This window comes from Homo sapiens, chromosome 5, assembly GCF_000001405.40.
Source record: "Homo sapiens chromosome 5, GRCh38.p14 Primary Assembly".
Taxonomy (NCBI): Eukaryota; Metazoa; Chordata; class Mammalia; order Primates; family Hominidae; genus Homo; species Homo sapiens.
Window position 1 is genome coordinate 815,701 of NC_000005.10, and position 16,747 is coordinate 832,447.

Below are 16,747 nucleotides of genomic sequence, written 5' to 3' on the forward strand. Positions count from 1 at the left end.
ATCATCTTTCATCCCCATCAGCAATGGATGAGACTTCCAATTCTCCCACATATTCACCAACACTTGGTATTGTTCATCTTTTTAAAAATTAATTTTTTTAAAGATAGGTTGCCCAGGCTGGTCTCAAACTCCTAGCCTCCAACCATCCTTCTGCCTCCTTGGACTCCCAAAGTGCTGGGATTTCAGGCATGAGCCACTGTGCCTGGCTTATCTTGTTGATCATTTTTATTGTAGCCTTTCTAACATGGGTGCCATGCTATCTTATTGTGGTTTTAGCTCGTGGATCCCAGGTGGGAAATGATGTTGAGCAGCTTTTCATGTGCTTTGTCGTTCATATTATTGCCTTGTGGAAGTTTTGTGTTCAAATCTTTTGCCCATTTGAAAACAGAGTTTTCTTATTGCTGAGTTTTGAAAATTCTTTAAATATTCTGGATACAAGTATATGACTTGAAAATATTTTATTTCAGTCTGTGGCTTATATTTTCATTCTCTTAATGGTGTCAATTGAAGGGAAATTTTTAAATGCTTAAAGTCACATTTATTCTTCTTTTTTCGGAAATAATGTTTTTGGGATCTATCAAAGAAGACATTGCTTAACAGAAGATCACAAAGATATTCTCTGGAGGGAGACTCAGAGGCGGACAGATGGCGGCAGCAGCTGCACGGGCGGGAGGGGGGCGGTAGCGCAGGCGGTGGTGGGGTTGGCGGGGGTTCCAGCTGCGGGACAGGCAGTGGCCGTAGCGGCATGTGGATAAGTCGAAGATAAGTGATATGCCTGGAAAAACGGACAAGTGGGATGGATCAGCTGTGAAAAACTCTGGATGATTCTGCCAAAAAGATACTTCTGGAAAAATACAAATACGTGGAGAATTTTTGTCTAATTGACGGTCACCTCACCATCTGTACAATCTCCTGTTGCTTTGCCATAGTGGCTGTGATTTGGGATTATATGCATCCCTTTCCAGAGTCCAAGCCCGTTTTGGCTTTGTGATGATGGGAATTCTGACTATTTAGACCTCATCTAAGGAGAAGACCATCTTTCTCGTGGCCCACAGAAAAGAGCCTACAGGAGTGGATTCTGATGCTATTTGGGAGCTGCCCTCCAGTCTTAAAAGGTTTGATGGCAGATACACCCTGAAGCTGACCTTCATCAGCAGGAGAACAAAGCAGCAGCGGGAAGCCAAGTTCACCAAGTCTATGGCTGAATTTTTCTGACCCCAGTGGGAGACTGGTCATGGATGCATGAGCCTGAAATGTCCAGGCTCCCTGACACTCTCCCCATGGGAAGAAACATCAAATAGCCCTCTTTCTGCTGGATCTTGCTGAATTACTGCCCTGGGGGGTAGGGGAGATAAAAATAACTTAAAATGGGTAAAGTAAGAACTGTTAAAAAGTCCATGTTTTGTCCTGAAATTTTACTCTATTCTGGATACATAGGATTTTCTGACACAGATATGAGAAGTTGTAGCTCTGAGGTCAAGCTGTGGCCACCTCGGTATGCTGTTTGCATTATTTTAATTTGCTTTTCTGCAAAAGCATTTTTGCTAAAAGCTGTACAGACTTTTCCCTTTGTACTTATCAATACTTTATACTATAGCTTTGTGCCATGCAGCATTTTAAGATTCAATTTTAAAAAATTATTAATGTGTTGCTGTCTCTATCAATTCATATTTCCATATGTGTTTCCTTGAAGAATTCAGGACACAACTCCTTCCGTATGACAGCTTTCCTTCACACACTATTTTTGTGGGTATGTATATATCTCACTTGGGGAAAACTTTAAAAACACACTTGAAAAAACATAGCTTTTTAATTTGTTTGAAACAGACCTTCTGCCTGTTACGTTTTGTGCTCTTAACCAATTTAAGAGGACAACTGTATATTTAGTATTAAAAAAACATATTCTGTGAGTTTTCTAGGGAGGTTAAACTTTCCTCTCTAAATATGAGGTCTCTGATGGATTGTGCACTGCTTTCTAGGTGGGACTGAGCTGTGTGTGTGTGTTTGGCATGTGGTTATGCAGCTGCTGCAGCACACTCATTACACACCCTTCCATGTCTCCCCATTGCCTCACCTTGGCACCTTCCATTTAAGCCAAACACCAGAAATATAAAGAAGGGCTTGTTTCTGGAGTTTCCAGTTTGTTCCATTCATCGAGTCAGGGTGTCTTCTATGGACAACGCTGTCTGCAGCCCTGGGCCCTCTCGAAGGGGAGGCGATGGACTGTAGGTCTGTGGAGCTCAGCACAGGGCTGTGCCACGGACGCGGGTGTCAGTGAAGTCACGTGCATTTTCAGATGGAATTCTCCTCCCCGATGTGAACAATGAACCGACGGTGTTATTTTCATAGGATTGTCCTGGAGCCCACGGAGACGCGGGCTTGGGATCCAACGTGATGCTGAGCGGATCTTCTCTGCTTCAGACCAGGCCTCATGTGGCTTCACACAAGGGTGACTGTAAATCGTCATCTACACCGAGATGCTGCAGAGAGACCGAGGGGACTCACAATTGCACCCCGGCAGCAGGTGTGCATGTGGACGATTGCAGGCAGAGAAAATCCTGTGAGCCTGTGTGCCACATGGAGTGAGGGAACGTTGGTGGGTGAGTCTGGGCGGGGCAGGCTGGGGGCCCAATCGGTTTCCACTGAGTGTCTCCATATCTTTGCTGGAAGTGCAGGGAAGGGGCAAGGCTTGGACGCCAGCGTCGCTGTTCCTCCAGGCTGGCTGATCCCTTTTCATTTCCAAGTCTCAAGAGCCTGTTCCCTGAAGTCCTGGGGAAGTGTGGTGAGGCGGCCCTGCCCCAACAGGGAAGGAGAAGACACCTGTAACCTCCAGAAGCTGGCCGCCTCACAAAGCCTTCTCAGATGGATTCCCCCACAGCCTAGTACAGTGGCTCATGCCTGTAATCGCCCTGCTATGGGAGGCTGAGGCCAGAGGCTTGCTTGAGACCAGAAGTTCCAAACCAGCACGGGCAACAGAGTGAGACCCCATCTCTTAAGAAATAAGAAATAAATTGGCTGGGTGTGGTGGCACACGCCTGTAGTTTCAGCTACTCGGGAGGCTGAGGTGGGAAGATCGCTTGAGCCCAGGAGGTGGAGGCTGCAGTGAGCCATTATCCCACCACTATAATCCATGCTGGGTGACAGAGTGAGATCCCATCTCCAAAAAATAAATAACAACCCAGTAGAAACCGCTGGAAGCTGACCCCAGAGCAGGAACAGAAATATGTGGCCCTAAAGCCGGTAGCCACACAGGGCTTTTCCCGTGAAGGACGGACACAGAGTCCATGTATCCATGTAACAAACACACACCATTCACACACATATACATGACCACACACCACACACAAAACCACACCAACACATACGTGCACATGTGACCACAAACACATCTCTATTCCCATCTGTCTCCTACACACAGTCTTTCCTAAGCATTTTATTTTAAAACCACAGCACACAGCTTCTGCCATGGCTACCAATTTCCCTCCATCCTTTATCACGGCACTGTCCCTCACTGCATGTTCTGGGCACTTCAGAGCCTGCCCTGGGCATCTGCCCATCACCGCAGCCTGATGGTGGCACTGCAGTGCTGAGGGCTCCCACTTTGGTACCCGTCTGTCTCTCTCACCCACAGCTGGGAAGCATTCCTGCCTCTCACTCCATCTCTCTTCTGTGCTCCACCCACCATCATTCCCATGTGAGCAGCACCCTTGGACACAGAGTGCTTCCCTTTTGAATACTACCTTAACCTCAGCTTGGGGGACCTCAGACCACACATTCTGCACATGGCCCTGTCCTCGGGGACAGCGCCAGTGATTGCAACTTACCTGTGCCATCGAGCCCCCGTCTGGGTGTACACGAGTGGAGAACTGACACAGGCGCCTGCAAATCAGCCGGGAGTTCCTGGCCTTGGCTCTGGTGGGGCAAACAGAAGGAAAGAAACACACCACAGTTTTGTAGGGCGCTCAGGATGGCACTGGAGGCTACAGTGTGTCCTGTAAGCACCACTGCAGTGGGGCCCATGTGTCTCAGAAACTGGAGACCAGCAGCTCCCGGGAGGTTGTGTGAGTGCTCCCGGGTTACTGCACAGTGGGAAACAGAAGGAGCTTCTCGTGTAAAGGACCAGGACTCCTTCCCACTTGGATTCTGTAAAGCAGTACCTCCCTGAAGTCTGCGAGCCCCACCCTAGACCAGTGCCTTAGACAGGTAGTGTCCTCCGTTAGTGTAGCTGGTCTACACTGGGCTACAAGGTGACTGTAATTTTATAAAACAGCACATCATACATGTCACAGGGGTGTCAGGTGGGTCAGGTGACCTTCATTTTTACCTGGAAATCCTTGCCATTCCCTAATTTTCTACAACATATACATGTCGATTTGGCAATCATTACACAACTTTAGTTTTTCCTTTTGTTTTGGTTTTAGAGAGAAAGTTTGTAATTCCGGTTATAGTTACATTTCTATTAATCTTGCCCAAAATGCATCACAGAGAAAGCATTTTTGTATTTTACTTAAAAGACCATAGTTACATGATAGTTTGAAGTGATATTCAAGTGCTTCGGATCTACACAGTAGTTTTGCCAATTACCCTTCTAAGAAAAGCAATTTCATAGAAGACTTAATGGGTCGTTTGAAAGGGAATGAACTTTTCCCAGTAAGCCATACACCTTGACTGCTGAACTAAGCAAAAGTCTGCATGAATTCTCTGCAGTTGTGATCATTACCAACAGGGCCTTGTCCTGATCTAAGAAGCCCTTTGCCCTCTGGCTGTGGAGTAAGGGATGGTGACATTTCCAGGGACACAGGCCCTGTCTCTTCTGCCCAGGAAGCTGTGGGCTGAGCCCCTGCCGGTGTCTGTGAGGGGTGGGGCTGGTGCACACCTGGGGAAGGGGGGCTGCACTCCACTTTCTGGCCATGGTGGAGACTCTGACTTCCAGGACCTTTGCTGCCTCTCTGTGGGGGCTGTGATGTGGTCCCCTCCCAATGGAAAGTGTGTAACTAATGTAACTGGAACTTGAATTTCATGTGTCTAGGAACTGGACAAAGTCATCTGAAAGCTCATATGGAAAAATAAATGTGTAAGAATTGTCAAAAGTAAATGAAAAATGAAAAAATCTTTAGAGGCTTATTTGCCTGCAGGATATTAAAATATAGTAGCTAAATAAGGTTCTGTAATTTAAACAGATGATGCACCTCCAGGACACAGACCCATGAGACAGACACAGACCTGGGCCTGTGTTTAGGGAAACACAGTGAACCAGAAAAGGGGCCTTTCAATTTGATGGGGAAAGGTGCAATATTTAATACATGAGGTGAAAACCAACAGTTACTTCGTTGGGATAAAATAACCTTATCTCTTAACTCCCTGAATACAACAATAAATCCCAACTGGCCTGAAAAATCAAAATGTAAAGGAAGCAAATGGAAATATGAATAACGTCTTTACCCTCCTCCAGCCCCTTGGCTCTCTGCTGCTCCCCCCGGGGCAGGAGAAGAAGGAAGAGGGCCAGGGGTCCCCTGCCCACACTCTCCATGATGACAGAGATGGGAAGGTAGCCAGGCAGCAACAGTGTACGGCGACATTGGAGCGACCTCACGGCGACCTCAATTTCCACTGCGCCTCCTCCCAGAGCCTAAGAAGCTGCAGGCCTGTGGTGCCCAGCACTGAAACAAGGAGATGGCGGCTCAGCCAAGCCATTTAGGATGGAAACTGCAAAGATTCAATATTCAGGACTGCTTCTTTGCTGCTGAAGGGGTGTGAACTACCCTTCTCTTCTCCACTACACAACACAACTGTTTTGGGAAGCATCAAGTGAAAGCGTGCAGGGCTCACGGCAGACAGGAGACAGGGCTGATGTGCAGCTCCCACCAGGACAGAGAACAGCATGTGGACACTCATACTGTGGACTTTTGCTGCAGGAACCACCAAGGAGCGTACCAGGAAAAAAACAAATCACAGAGCCTTTAAAAGAAGCCGCAGGCTGCTGTGATTCCACAGGACAGGTGACAGTTTTGCTGCTCTCTCGAAAGTGCCACCTCCTGGCACTTCAGGATATTTGAAGACATTAAATGGATGACATATTTTCCTAAGTAATTCGAGATGAGACGAGTGTATAACTATGTTACTAATAGATAAAATAATCCCATTAAACTTACAAACTCACCCAAGTGCAGATGGACACGGGTCTTCATCCCCTTCCTGTGGGGAAGTGAAGCAAAATTCATAGAATGAATTGACATTGAACTTATTCTTAAAAAAAATTCAAGTCCATTTCTAGTCAGTTCTGACAGTCACTTCTGAGTAATGGTACATCAAGGTTGCCTGGATCATGGAATAGGATCTCAGTGGTGACACAGCACACTTCCTCCCAATCCTTGTATTATGGGCTGAACTATATCCTCCTCCAAATTCATAGGTTGACATCCTGACACCCAGTACCTCAGAATGTGACTATATGTGGAGACAGGGTCTTGAAAGAGGTAATGGATGTTAGATGAGGCTATTAGAGTGAGCCCTAATCCAGAGTGACTGGTGTCCTTTTATGAAGGGGAGATTATAACAAAGACACAGACAGAGGGAAGACTGTGAGAGGACACAGAGAACAGGTGGCCATCTACAAGGCAAGGAGAGAGGCCTTGGGAGAAACCAACCCTGCAGACACCGTGCTCTGGGACTTCCAGCCTGCAGATATGTGAGAAAATACATTTCTTGTTGCAACACCCCATCCATGGTTCCTGCTTGTGGAAGCTCTAGCAAAGAAAAACACCTGCTATGTGTGCACACACATGTTGTTCTCAGTGCTCTTGGGTAAGAACCTGGGAGTGGGAGTGCTGGCTCATATGATAAGTACATGCTCAGCATCTGAAGCTTTGCCAAACTGCTCGCCAATGTGGCATCATCTTTCATCCCCATGAGCAATGGATGAGACTTCCAGTTCTCCAAACTCTTCACCAACACTTGATATTGATCACCTTTTTTTATTTATATTTTTTAGAGGCAGGGTCTTGCTATGTTGCCCATAGTGGTCTCAAACTCCTGGCCTCAAGGGATCCTCCTGCCTTGTGGGCCACCCAAAGCTCTGGGATTTCAGGTGTGAAGCTTTGTGCCTGGATGGTATCCTTAATCTGCTTTCTTGCAGCTACTCTAATGGGGTGCAGCAGTATCTTATTGTGATTTTAGCTGGTGGTTCCCTGGTGGCAAATGATGTTGAGCACCATTTTGTGGGCTTTATTTCTCATGGATATTGTTGCCTTGGTGAAGAACGTGTTCAATCTTTCACCCATTTAAAAACTGAGCTGTTGTGTATTTTTGAGTTTTCATGGTTCTTTAAATATTCTGGATGAAAGCATATGACTTGTAAATATTTTATTTCAGCCTGTGGCTTATATTTTCATTCTTTTACTGGTGACAATGGAAGAAATAATTTTAAATGCTTAAAGTCAAATGTATCCGTTTTGTGAAATAGTGTTTTTGGTATCTATCAAAGAAGAGTTTGCCTAACACAAGACCCCGGAGATATTCTAGGATTTTTGTAGGAATGTTAAAGTTTCCCCCTCTTACTATGAGGTCTCTGATGGATTGTGCACTGCTTTCTAGGTGGGACTGAGCTGTGTGTGTGTGTTTGGCATGTGGTTATGCAGCTGCTGCACCACACTCATTACAAACCCTTCCATGTCTCCCCATTGCCTCACCTTGGCACCTTCCATTTAAGCCAAACATTAGAAATGTAAAGAAGGGCTTGTTTCTGGAGTTTCCAGTTTGTTCCATTCATCTACTCAGAGCATCTTCTTTGGACAACACTGTCTGCAGCTGTGGGCCCACTCCAAGGGGAGGCGATGGACTGTAGGTCTGTGGAGCTCAGCACAGGGCTGTGCCACGGACGCGGGTGTCAGTGAAGTCACGTGCATTTTCAGATGGAATTCTCCTCCCCGATGTGAACAATGAACGACGGTGTCACTTTCATAGGATTGTCCTGGAGCCCACGGAGACGCGGGCTTGGGATTCAACATGATGCTGAGCGGATCTTCTCTGCTTCAGACCAGGCCTCATGTGGCTTCACTATTCATCCACACATAGAAGCTGCAGAGACACTGAGGGGACTCACAAATGCACCTGTGCAGAAGGTGTCAACGTGGACAAACACAGGCAGAGAAACTCCCATGAGCCCGTGTGCCACATGCAGTGAGGGAACTTTGGTGGCTGAGTCTGGGCCAGGGTGGGCTGGGGGCTCAATCGATTTCCACCGAGTGTGTCTCCAAATCTTTGCTGGAAGTGCAGGCAAGGGGCAAGGCTTGGACACCAGCGTCGCTGTTCCTCCAGGCTGGGCTGATCCCTTTTTATTTCCAAGTCACAGGAGCCTGTTCCCTGAAATCCTGGGGAAGTGTGGTGAGGTGGCCCTGCCCCCACAGGGAAGGAGAACACACCTGTAACCTCCAGAAGCTGGCCCCATGACAAAACCTGCTCAAAAGGACCAGCCTGCGGCCTGGCGTGGTGGCTCACGCCTCTAATCCCTGTGCTATTAGAGGCTGAGGTCAAGGAATCACTTGAGATGAGAAGTTCCAAACAAGCCTGGACAATAGAGTGAGATCCCATCTCTTAAGAAATAAAAAATAAATTGGCTGGGCGTGGTGGCATACGCTTGTACTTTCAGCTACTCAGGAGGCTAAGGTGGGAAGATTGCTTGAGCCCAGGAGTTGGAGGCTGCAGTGAGCCATTATCCCACCACTGCAATCCATGTTGGGTGATGGAGTGAGATCTCATCTCTAAAAAATAAATAATGACCCAGCAGAAACCACTGGAAGCTGACCCCAGAGCAGGAACAGAAATATGTGGCCCTAAAGCCGGCAGCCGCGCTGGTCTTTTCCTGTGAAGGATGGACACAGAGTCCATGTAACAAACACACACCATTCACACACATATACACGTGACCACACACCACACACAAAACCACACACATAACCACACCCCCCCACATATGTGCAACCACACACCATACACTTGTACGTGTGACCACACATACATCGTCTATTCCCATCTGTCTCCTACACACAGTCTTTCCTAAGCATTTTATTTAAAAAAAAAAAAAAAACAGCACATGGCTTCTGCCATGGCTACCAATTTCCCTCCATCCTTTATCACAGCACTGTCCCTCGCTGCATGTTCTGGGCACTTCAGAGCCTGCCTTGGGCATCTGCCCATCACCACAGCCTGATGGTGGTGCTCCAGTGCTGGGGGCTCCCACTTTGGTACCCATCTGTCTCTGTCACCCACAGCTGGGAAGCATTCCTGCCTCTCACTCCATCTCTCTTCTGTGCTCCACCCACCATCATTCCCATGTGAGCAGCACCATTGGACACAGAGTGCTTCCATTCTGAATACTGCCTTAACCTCAGCTTGGGGGACCCGAGACCACATATTCTGCACACGGCCCTGACCTCGGGGTGCATCGCTGGTGACTGCAACTTACCCGTGCCGTCGAATCCCCATCCTGGTTTACTGAAGTGCAGAAGTGACATAAGTGCTTGTGAATCAGCAGGGAGCTCTTGGCTTTGACTCTGGTGGGACAGAAAGGAGGAGAGAAACTCATCTCAGCTTTGTAGGGGGACTCAGGGTGGCACTGGAGGCTGCACCGCGTCGTGTCAGCACCACTGCTGTGGGGCACACATGTCTCAGAAACTTGTAGACCAGCAGCTCCTGGGAGGTTGTCTAAGTACTCCTGCGTTATGTGCAGTGGCACACGTAAGAAGCTTCTCGTGTAAAGGACCATGACTCTTTGCCACTGGGACAATGCAAAGCAGTCCCTCCACCCACCGTGTGAGACCTGCCCTACACCAGTGCCTAAGACAGGTTCTGAAGAGTGATGGCAGATGGGAGACAGGTCTGATATGCAGCTCCCACATGGAGAGACAGAACAGCATGTGGAGACTCATACTGTGGCCTTTCACTCCAGGAACCACCACAGCAGCATACCAGAAAAAACAAAAAGTCACAGGGCCTTTGGAAGATGCCATAGGCCACTGCAAATTCCACAGAACAGGTGACAACTCCGCTGCTGTCTCAAAAGTGCCACCTCCTGGCTGGAGGCCAGTCAGCTCAGGACATGACAGCAACTCATGACAGAACAACCCTGCTCCTAGGAAGGAGAAAACAAGAGCTTATTCCACCTCCTGCAACATCCTGGATAACCAGAGGTCCTGAGTCTGCCCATGTGACAACTTCACTGCTAGAATAACCAGCCTCTGAGAAAGTCAGCACAGTAAACCTATCGGCCGCCGAGGACCTCCACAGAGTCCACTTCGGTCCCCTGTCACCTCCACCGGAGCAGGTGCTCGCATCCACAGCTGGGAGACCTGAGGACGGATCACATCACAGGACTCTGTGCAGACATTCCCCAGCACCAGCCTGGTAGCCCTGCTGGGTGGAGAGACCCAGAAGAACAATAGCAATCACTGCTGTCTGGTTTGCAGGAAGCTCCATCTCTAGGGGAAGGGGCAGTGCACAAATCAGGGACCACCCCATGGGACTAAAGAATCTGACCAGCAGCCTTGAGTTCCAGATTTTCCCACTGAAATAATCTACACACATGAGAAGGAATCAGACGAGTAATCCTGGTAATATCATGAAACAGGGCTCTATTCCACCCTCAAAAGACCACACTAGCTCCCCAGTGAGAGATCCAAACCAAGAAGAAAATCAGAATTGCTGGAAAGAATTCAGAAGGTTGATTATTAAACTACTCAAGGAGATACCAAAGACAGGTGATAACCAACTTAAAGAAATTTAAAAATCAATACAGGATATAGATGAAAAATGCTCCAGGGAAATAGAGATCCTAAAGAAAACACAGTCACAACTTCTGGAACAAAAGACACACTAAGAGAAATGGAAAATGCACCAGAAACTTTCAACAGCAGGATCTAACAAGTAGAACAAAGAACTTCAGAACTCAAAAACAAGGCTTTTTAAATAACCCAGCCAGACAAAGAGGAAAAAAATAATTTTAAAAAAGAACAAAGCCTCCAGGAACTTAGGGATTATGTTAAACAGCCAAACCTAAAAATAGTGTTCCTGACAAAGCAGACAAATCCACAAGTTTGGAAAACTTATTTGAGGAAATGATCAAGGAAACCTTCCCTGGCCTTGCTAGAGTTCTAGACATCCAAAGACAAGAAGCTCAAAGAATGCCTGGGAAATTCATTGCAAAAAGATCATCACCGAGGCACATGGTCATCAGGTTATCTACAGTCGACACAAATCAAAGAATCTTAAGAGCTGGGAGGCAAAACATCAGGTAACCTCTAAAGGAAAACCTCTCATATTAGCAGCAGATTTCTCAGCAGAAACTCTACACACTAGAAGGGATTGGGGTCCTATCTCTAGCCTCTCCAAGCAAAATAATTAACAGCCAATAATTTTGTATTCAGCAAAACTATGTTTCCTAAATGAAGTAGAGAAAATGTCTGTTTCAGAACAACAAATGCTGAGAGAACTAGCCACTAATAAGTCAGTCCTACAAGAAATACTAAAAGGAGTTCCAAATCTTAAAACAAAACCTCAAAATACACCAAAACAGAACCTCCTTAAAGCATAAATCTTACAGGACTGAGAAAACAGTAACACAAATTAAAAAACCAAGGTATTCAGGCAACAACTAGCATGATCAATAAAACAGTACCTCACATCCAAATGCTAACACTGAATGTAAATGGCCTATAAGCACCTTCTAAAAAATACAGAGTGGAAGAATGGAGAAAAATCCACCAACCAAGTATCTGCTGTCTTCAAGAGACACACCTAATGTATAAGGACTGAAATAAACTTAAGGTAAAGTGGCAGAAAAGATATTCCATACAAATGGAAACCAACAGCAGGCAGGAGGAACTATTCTGATACCAGACTCAACAGACTTTAAAGCCACAACAGTTAAGAAAGACAAAGAGCAACATTATACGATGATAAAAGAATCACTCCAAAAGGAAAAATATCACTATCCTAACTATATATGCACGTAATGAGGGACCTGCCAAATTTATTTTTTTTTATTCTTTATTTTTTTTTTTTTATTGATCATTCTTGGGTGTTTCTCACAGAGGGGGATTTGGCAGGGTCATAGGACAATAGTGGAGGGAAGGTCAACAGAAAAACAAGTGAACAAAGGTCTCTGGCTTTCCTAGGCAGAGGACCCAGCGGCCTTCCCCAGTGTTTGTGTCCCTGGGTACTTGAGATTAGGGAGTGGTGATGACTCTTAATGAGCATGCTGCCTTCAAGCATCTGTTTAACAAAGCACATCTTGCACCGCCCTTAATCCATTTAACCCTGAGTGGACACAGCACATGTTTCAGAGAGCACAGGGTTGGGGGTAAGGTCATAGATCAACAGGATCCCAAGGCAGAATTTTTCTTAGTACAGAACAAAATGAAAAGTCTCCCATGTCTACTTCTTTCTACACAGACACAGCAACCATCCGATTTCTCAATCTTTTCCCCACCTTTCCCCCTTTTCTATTCCACAAAACCGCCATTGTCATCATGGCCCGTTCTCAGTGAGCTGTTGGGTACACCTTCCAGACGGGGTGGTGGCCGGGCAGAGGGGCTCCTCACTTCCCAGAAGGGGCGGCCGGGCGGAGGCACCCCCCACCTCCCAGATGCGGCAGCTGGCCGGGTGGAGGTGCCCCCCACCTCCCTCCTGGACGGGGCGGCTGGCCGGGTGGAGGTGCCCCCCACCTCCCTCCTGGACGGGGCGGCCGGCCGGGTGGGGGCTGACCCCCCACCTCCCTCCCGGACGGGGGACCTGCCAAATTTATAAAACAATTCTTACTGGACATAAGAAATGAGACTGATGAAAACACAATTATAGTGACGGACACAATACTGCACTGATAGCACTAGACAGGTCATCAAGACAGAAAGGCAACAAAGAAACAATGACCTTAAACTATATCCTAGAACAAAAGGACTTGACAGATATTTACAGAACACTCTACCCAACAACTGCAGAATGTACATTCTTTTCATCAGTACATGGAAAATTCTCCAAGATACATCATATAATAGGCCACAAAACAAGTTTCAATGAATTTAAGAAAGTCAGAATTACATCAAGTATCTTTTCAGACCACAGGGGAATAAATTGATAATTAACTCCAAAAGGAACCCATGAAATTACACAAATATGTAGAAATTAAATAACTGCTTCTGAATGATCTTTGGGTCGACAATGAAATCCAGAGGGAAATTTAAAAGTTCTTCAAACTGAATAACTGTGGCATGACTTATCAAAACCTCAAGGACACAGCAAAAGTGATGTTTAAAGGAATGTTCACAGCATTAAATGGCCACATCAAAAAGACTGAAAGAGCACAAACAGACAATCTAAAGTCACACCTGAAGTAACCAGAGAAACAAGAACGAATCAAACCCAAACCCAACAGAAGAAAAGTAATAACGAACATCAGAGCAGAACTAAATGAAATTCAAACAAAAAAACAAAAAAACCACAAAAGATAAATCAAAAAGCCAGTTTTCTGAAAACACAAACAAAATTGATTGACCATTAGCAACATTAAGCAAGAAAAGAAGAGAAAAGATCCAAATAAGCTCAATTAGAAATGAAATGAGAGATAGCACAACTGATACCACAGGAATACAAAAGATCATTTAAGGCCAATATGAACACCGTTATGCACACAAACTAGAAAATCCAGAGGAGATGGATAACTTCCTGGAAATATACAACCCACCTAGATTAAATCAGGAAGAAATAGAAACTCTTAACAGACTAATAACAAGTAGCGAGATTGAAACAGTAATAAAAAAATTGCCAACTAAAATATCCAGGATGTATTCACAGCTGAATTCTATCAGGCATCCAAAGAAGGACTGGTACCAATCTTATGGAAACTATTACAAAAGATAAAGAGGGAATCGTCCATAAATCATTCCATGAAGCCAGTATCACCTTAATACCCAAACCATGAAAGGACATAGCAAAAAGAGAAAACTACAGACTAATATCCCTCATGAATATAGATGCAAAAATCCTCAACAAAATACTAGCGAACCGAATCAAACAGCATAGCAAAAAGATAATAACACCATGGTCAAGTGGGTTTCATACCACGTATGCAGGAATGGTTTAATATATGCAAGTCAATAAATGTGATACCTCACATAAACAGAATTAAAAACAAAAAATCAGAGATCTCAATAGATGCAGAAAAAGCATCTGACAAACTCTGCCATCCCTTTATAAATAGAACACTCATCAAAATCAGCACAGAAGGGACATACCTCAAGGTAATAAAAGCCCTCTATGACAAACCCACAGCCAACATTATACTGAATGGGGAAAAGTTGAAAACATTGCCCCTCAGAACTGGAATAAGACAAGGATGCCCACTTTCACCACTTCCTTTCGACACAGTACTGGAAGATCTAGCCAGAGCAATCAGAGAAGAGAAAGAAAAAGCATCCAAATTGGTAAACAGGAAGTCAAATTGTCCCTGTTCACTGATGATATGGTTGTATACCTAGAAAACTCTAAATACTCATCCAGAAAGCTTCTAAATCTGATAAATGAATTCAGTAAAGTTTCAGGATACAAAATCAATGGACACAAATCAGTAGCATTGCTATGTGCCAACAATGACCAAGCTGCGAATCAAATGAATAAGTCAACCCCTTTTGCAACAGGTGAAAGAAAAAAAAACAACTTAGGAATATACCTAACACAAAAGGTGAAATATCTCTACATGGAAACTACAAAAACCTGCTGAAAGTGAACATAGAAAACGCAAATAAATGGAAACACATCCCAGGCTCATAGATGGGTAGAATTACTATTGTGAAAATGACCATACTGCCAAAGCAATCCACAAATTCAATGCAATTCCCCTCAAAGCAGAATCATCTTTCTTCACAGAACTAGAAAAAACAATCCTAAAATTCATATGGAACCAAAAAAGACCCCAGATAGCCAAGGAAGACTAATCAAAAAGAACAAATCTGGAGGCATCACATTACCTGAATTCAAACTATACTACAAATCTAGAGTTACCAAAACAGCAGGGAACTAATATGGAAATAGGTGTGTAGATCAATGGAACAGAATAGAGAACCCATAAATAAAGGCAAATACTTACTGCCAATCGATCTTCAACAAACAAAAGACATCAAGTGGGGAAAGGACATCCTATTCAATACAAGGTGCTGGGATAATTCACAAGCCACATGTGAAGAATGAAGCTGGATCCTCTCCTCACACCTTTTACAAACATCAGCTGAGGATGGATAAAAGACTTAAGACCTGAAAGCAAAATCTACAAGATATCATCAGAAAAACTTTTGTAGGCATTGACTTCGGCAAAGAGCTCATGACGAAGAATCCAAAAGCAAATGCAACAAGAACAAAGATAAATAGATGCAATTTAGCTTAATTTATCTTTATTTTAAATAAGTACCTTCTGCACAGGAAAAGAAGTAATAAGCAGACTAAATAGAACCCACGGAAAGGAAGAAAATATTAACAATCTGTACATCTGACAAAGGACTAGTATCCAGAATCTAAAAGGAACTCAAACAAATCCGCAAGAAAAAACAAATCATCCAATTGGGTGTGGTGGCTCATGTCTGTAATCCCAGTCCTTTCGGAGGCTGGGGCAGGCAGATCACTTGAAGTCAAGAGTTCAAGACCAGCCTGGCTAACATGGTGAAACTTGTCTCTACTAACGACACAAAAATTAGCTGGGCGTGCTGGTGGGTGACTGTAATCCCAGGTACTTGGGAGCCTGATGCAGGATAATCGCTTCAACCCAGGAGGCAGAGGCTTCAGCGAGCCAAGATCATGCCCCTGCACTCCAGCCTGGGTGACAGAGTGAGACTCTGTCTCAAACAAACAAACAAACAAACAACAAAACCAATCCCATCAAAAAGTGGGCAACATTCATGAAGAGACAGTTCTCAACAGAAGATATACAAATGGCCAACAAGCATAGGAAAAAATGCTGAACATCACTAATTAACAGGGAAATGCAAATAAAATCCACAATGCAATACCACCTTACTCCTGGAAGAATGGCCATAATTTAAAAAATAAAGAAATAACAGATGTTGGCATGGATGTGGTGAAAAGGAACACTTTTACACTGCTAGTGGGAATGTAAACTAGTACAACTACTATAAAAAACAGTACGGAGATTCTGTAAAGAACTTAAAGGTAGAACTATCATCTGATCTAGCAATCCCACTACTGGCTATCTACCCAGAAGAAAAGAAGTTATCTTATGAAAAAGATACTTGCACCCACATGTTTATAGCAGCATAGTTTGCAATTGCAAAAATATGAAACCAGCCTAAAACAAATCAGTGGATAAAGAAAATGTGATATATATTTGTGATCTGTATATATGTAAATACCATGGAATACTACTCAGCCATAAAAAGGAATGAAATATCAGCACTCACACAACCTGGAGTTGCAGACCATTATTCTAAGTGAAGTAACTCAAGAATGAAAAACCAAACATCGTAGTATCTCACTTATAAGTGGGAGCTAAGCTACGAGGATGCAAAGACATAAGAATGATGTAATGGGCTTTTGGGACTCAGGGGGAGTGGTGGGAGGAGGGTGATGGATAAAAGACTACACATTGAGTACTGTATACATTGCTCGGGTGGTGGGTGCACCAAAATCTCAGAAATCAACACTAAAAATCTTTTCCATGCAACCAAACACCTTGTTCCCCAAAACTATT

General features: G+C 44.7%; 1 protein-coding gene and 1 pseudogene across 19 annotated transcripts in view, besides 1 other annotated feature; one reads left to right on the plus strand and one right to left on the minus strand.

Moving 5' to 3' along the window:
* ZDHHC11 (zDHHC palmitoyltransferase 11) overlaps positions 1–16,747 on the minus strand; it is a 64,959-nt gene that overhangs the window by 20,096 nt on the left and 28,116 nt on the right. For 13 of the 19 annotated variants that reach the window (XM_047417747.1, XM_047417746.1, XM_024446212.2 and 10 more), the window contains 3 exons: positions 9,464–9,551; positions 6,161–6,195; positions 3,825–3,912 (listed from right to left, as the gene is read on the minus strand). In XM_047417747.1, the coding sequence (XP_047273703.1) occupies positions 3,825–3,912; positions 6,161–6,195; positions 9,464–9,551 (211 nt within the window). Of the gene's footprint in view, positions 1–3,824; positions 3,913–5,442; positions 5,661–6,160; positions 6,196–7,688; positions 8,861–9,463; positions 9,552–16,747 lie in introns of those variants that run through there. The other 6 variants (XR_007058640.1, XR_007058636.1, XR_007058638.1 and 3 more) reach the window with 5 other exon arrangements.
* Positions 627–1,591, plus strand: SPCS2P3 (signal peptidase complex subunit 2 pseudogene 3; annotated as a pseudogene).
* Positions 11,994–12,540: an enhancer, noted in NCBI's record as "NANOG-H3K27ac hESC enhancer chr5:827809-828355 (GRCh37/hg19 assembly coordinates)". NCBI's record gives its function as "activates a minimal SCP1, AML or CMV promoter by ChIP-STARR-seq in primed H9 embryonic stem cells {active_cell/tissue: H9 hESC(primed)}" and the evidence as "EXISTENCE:reporter gene assay evidence [ECO:0000049][PMID:30033119]".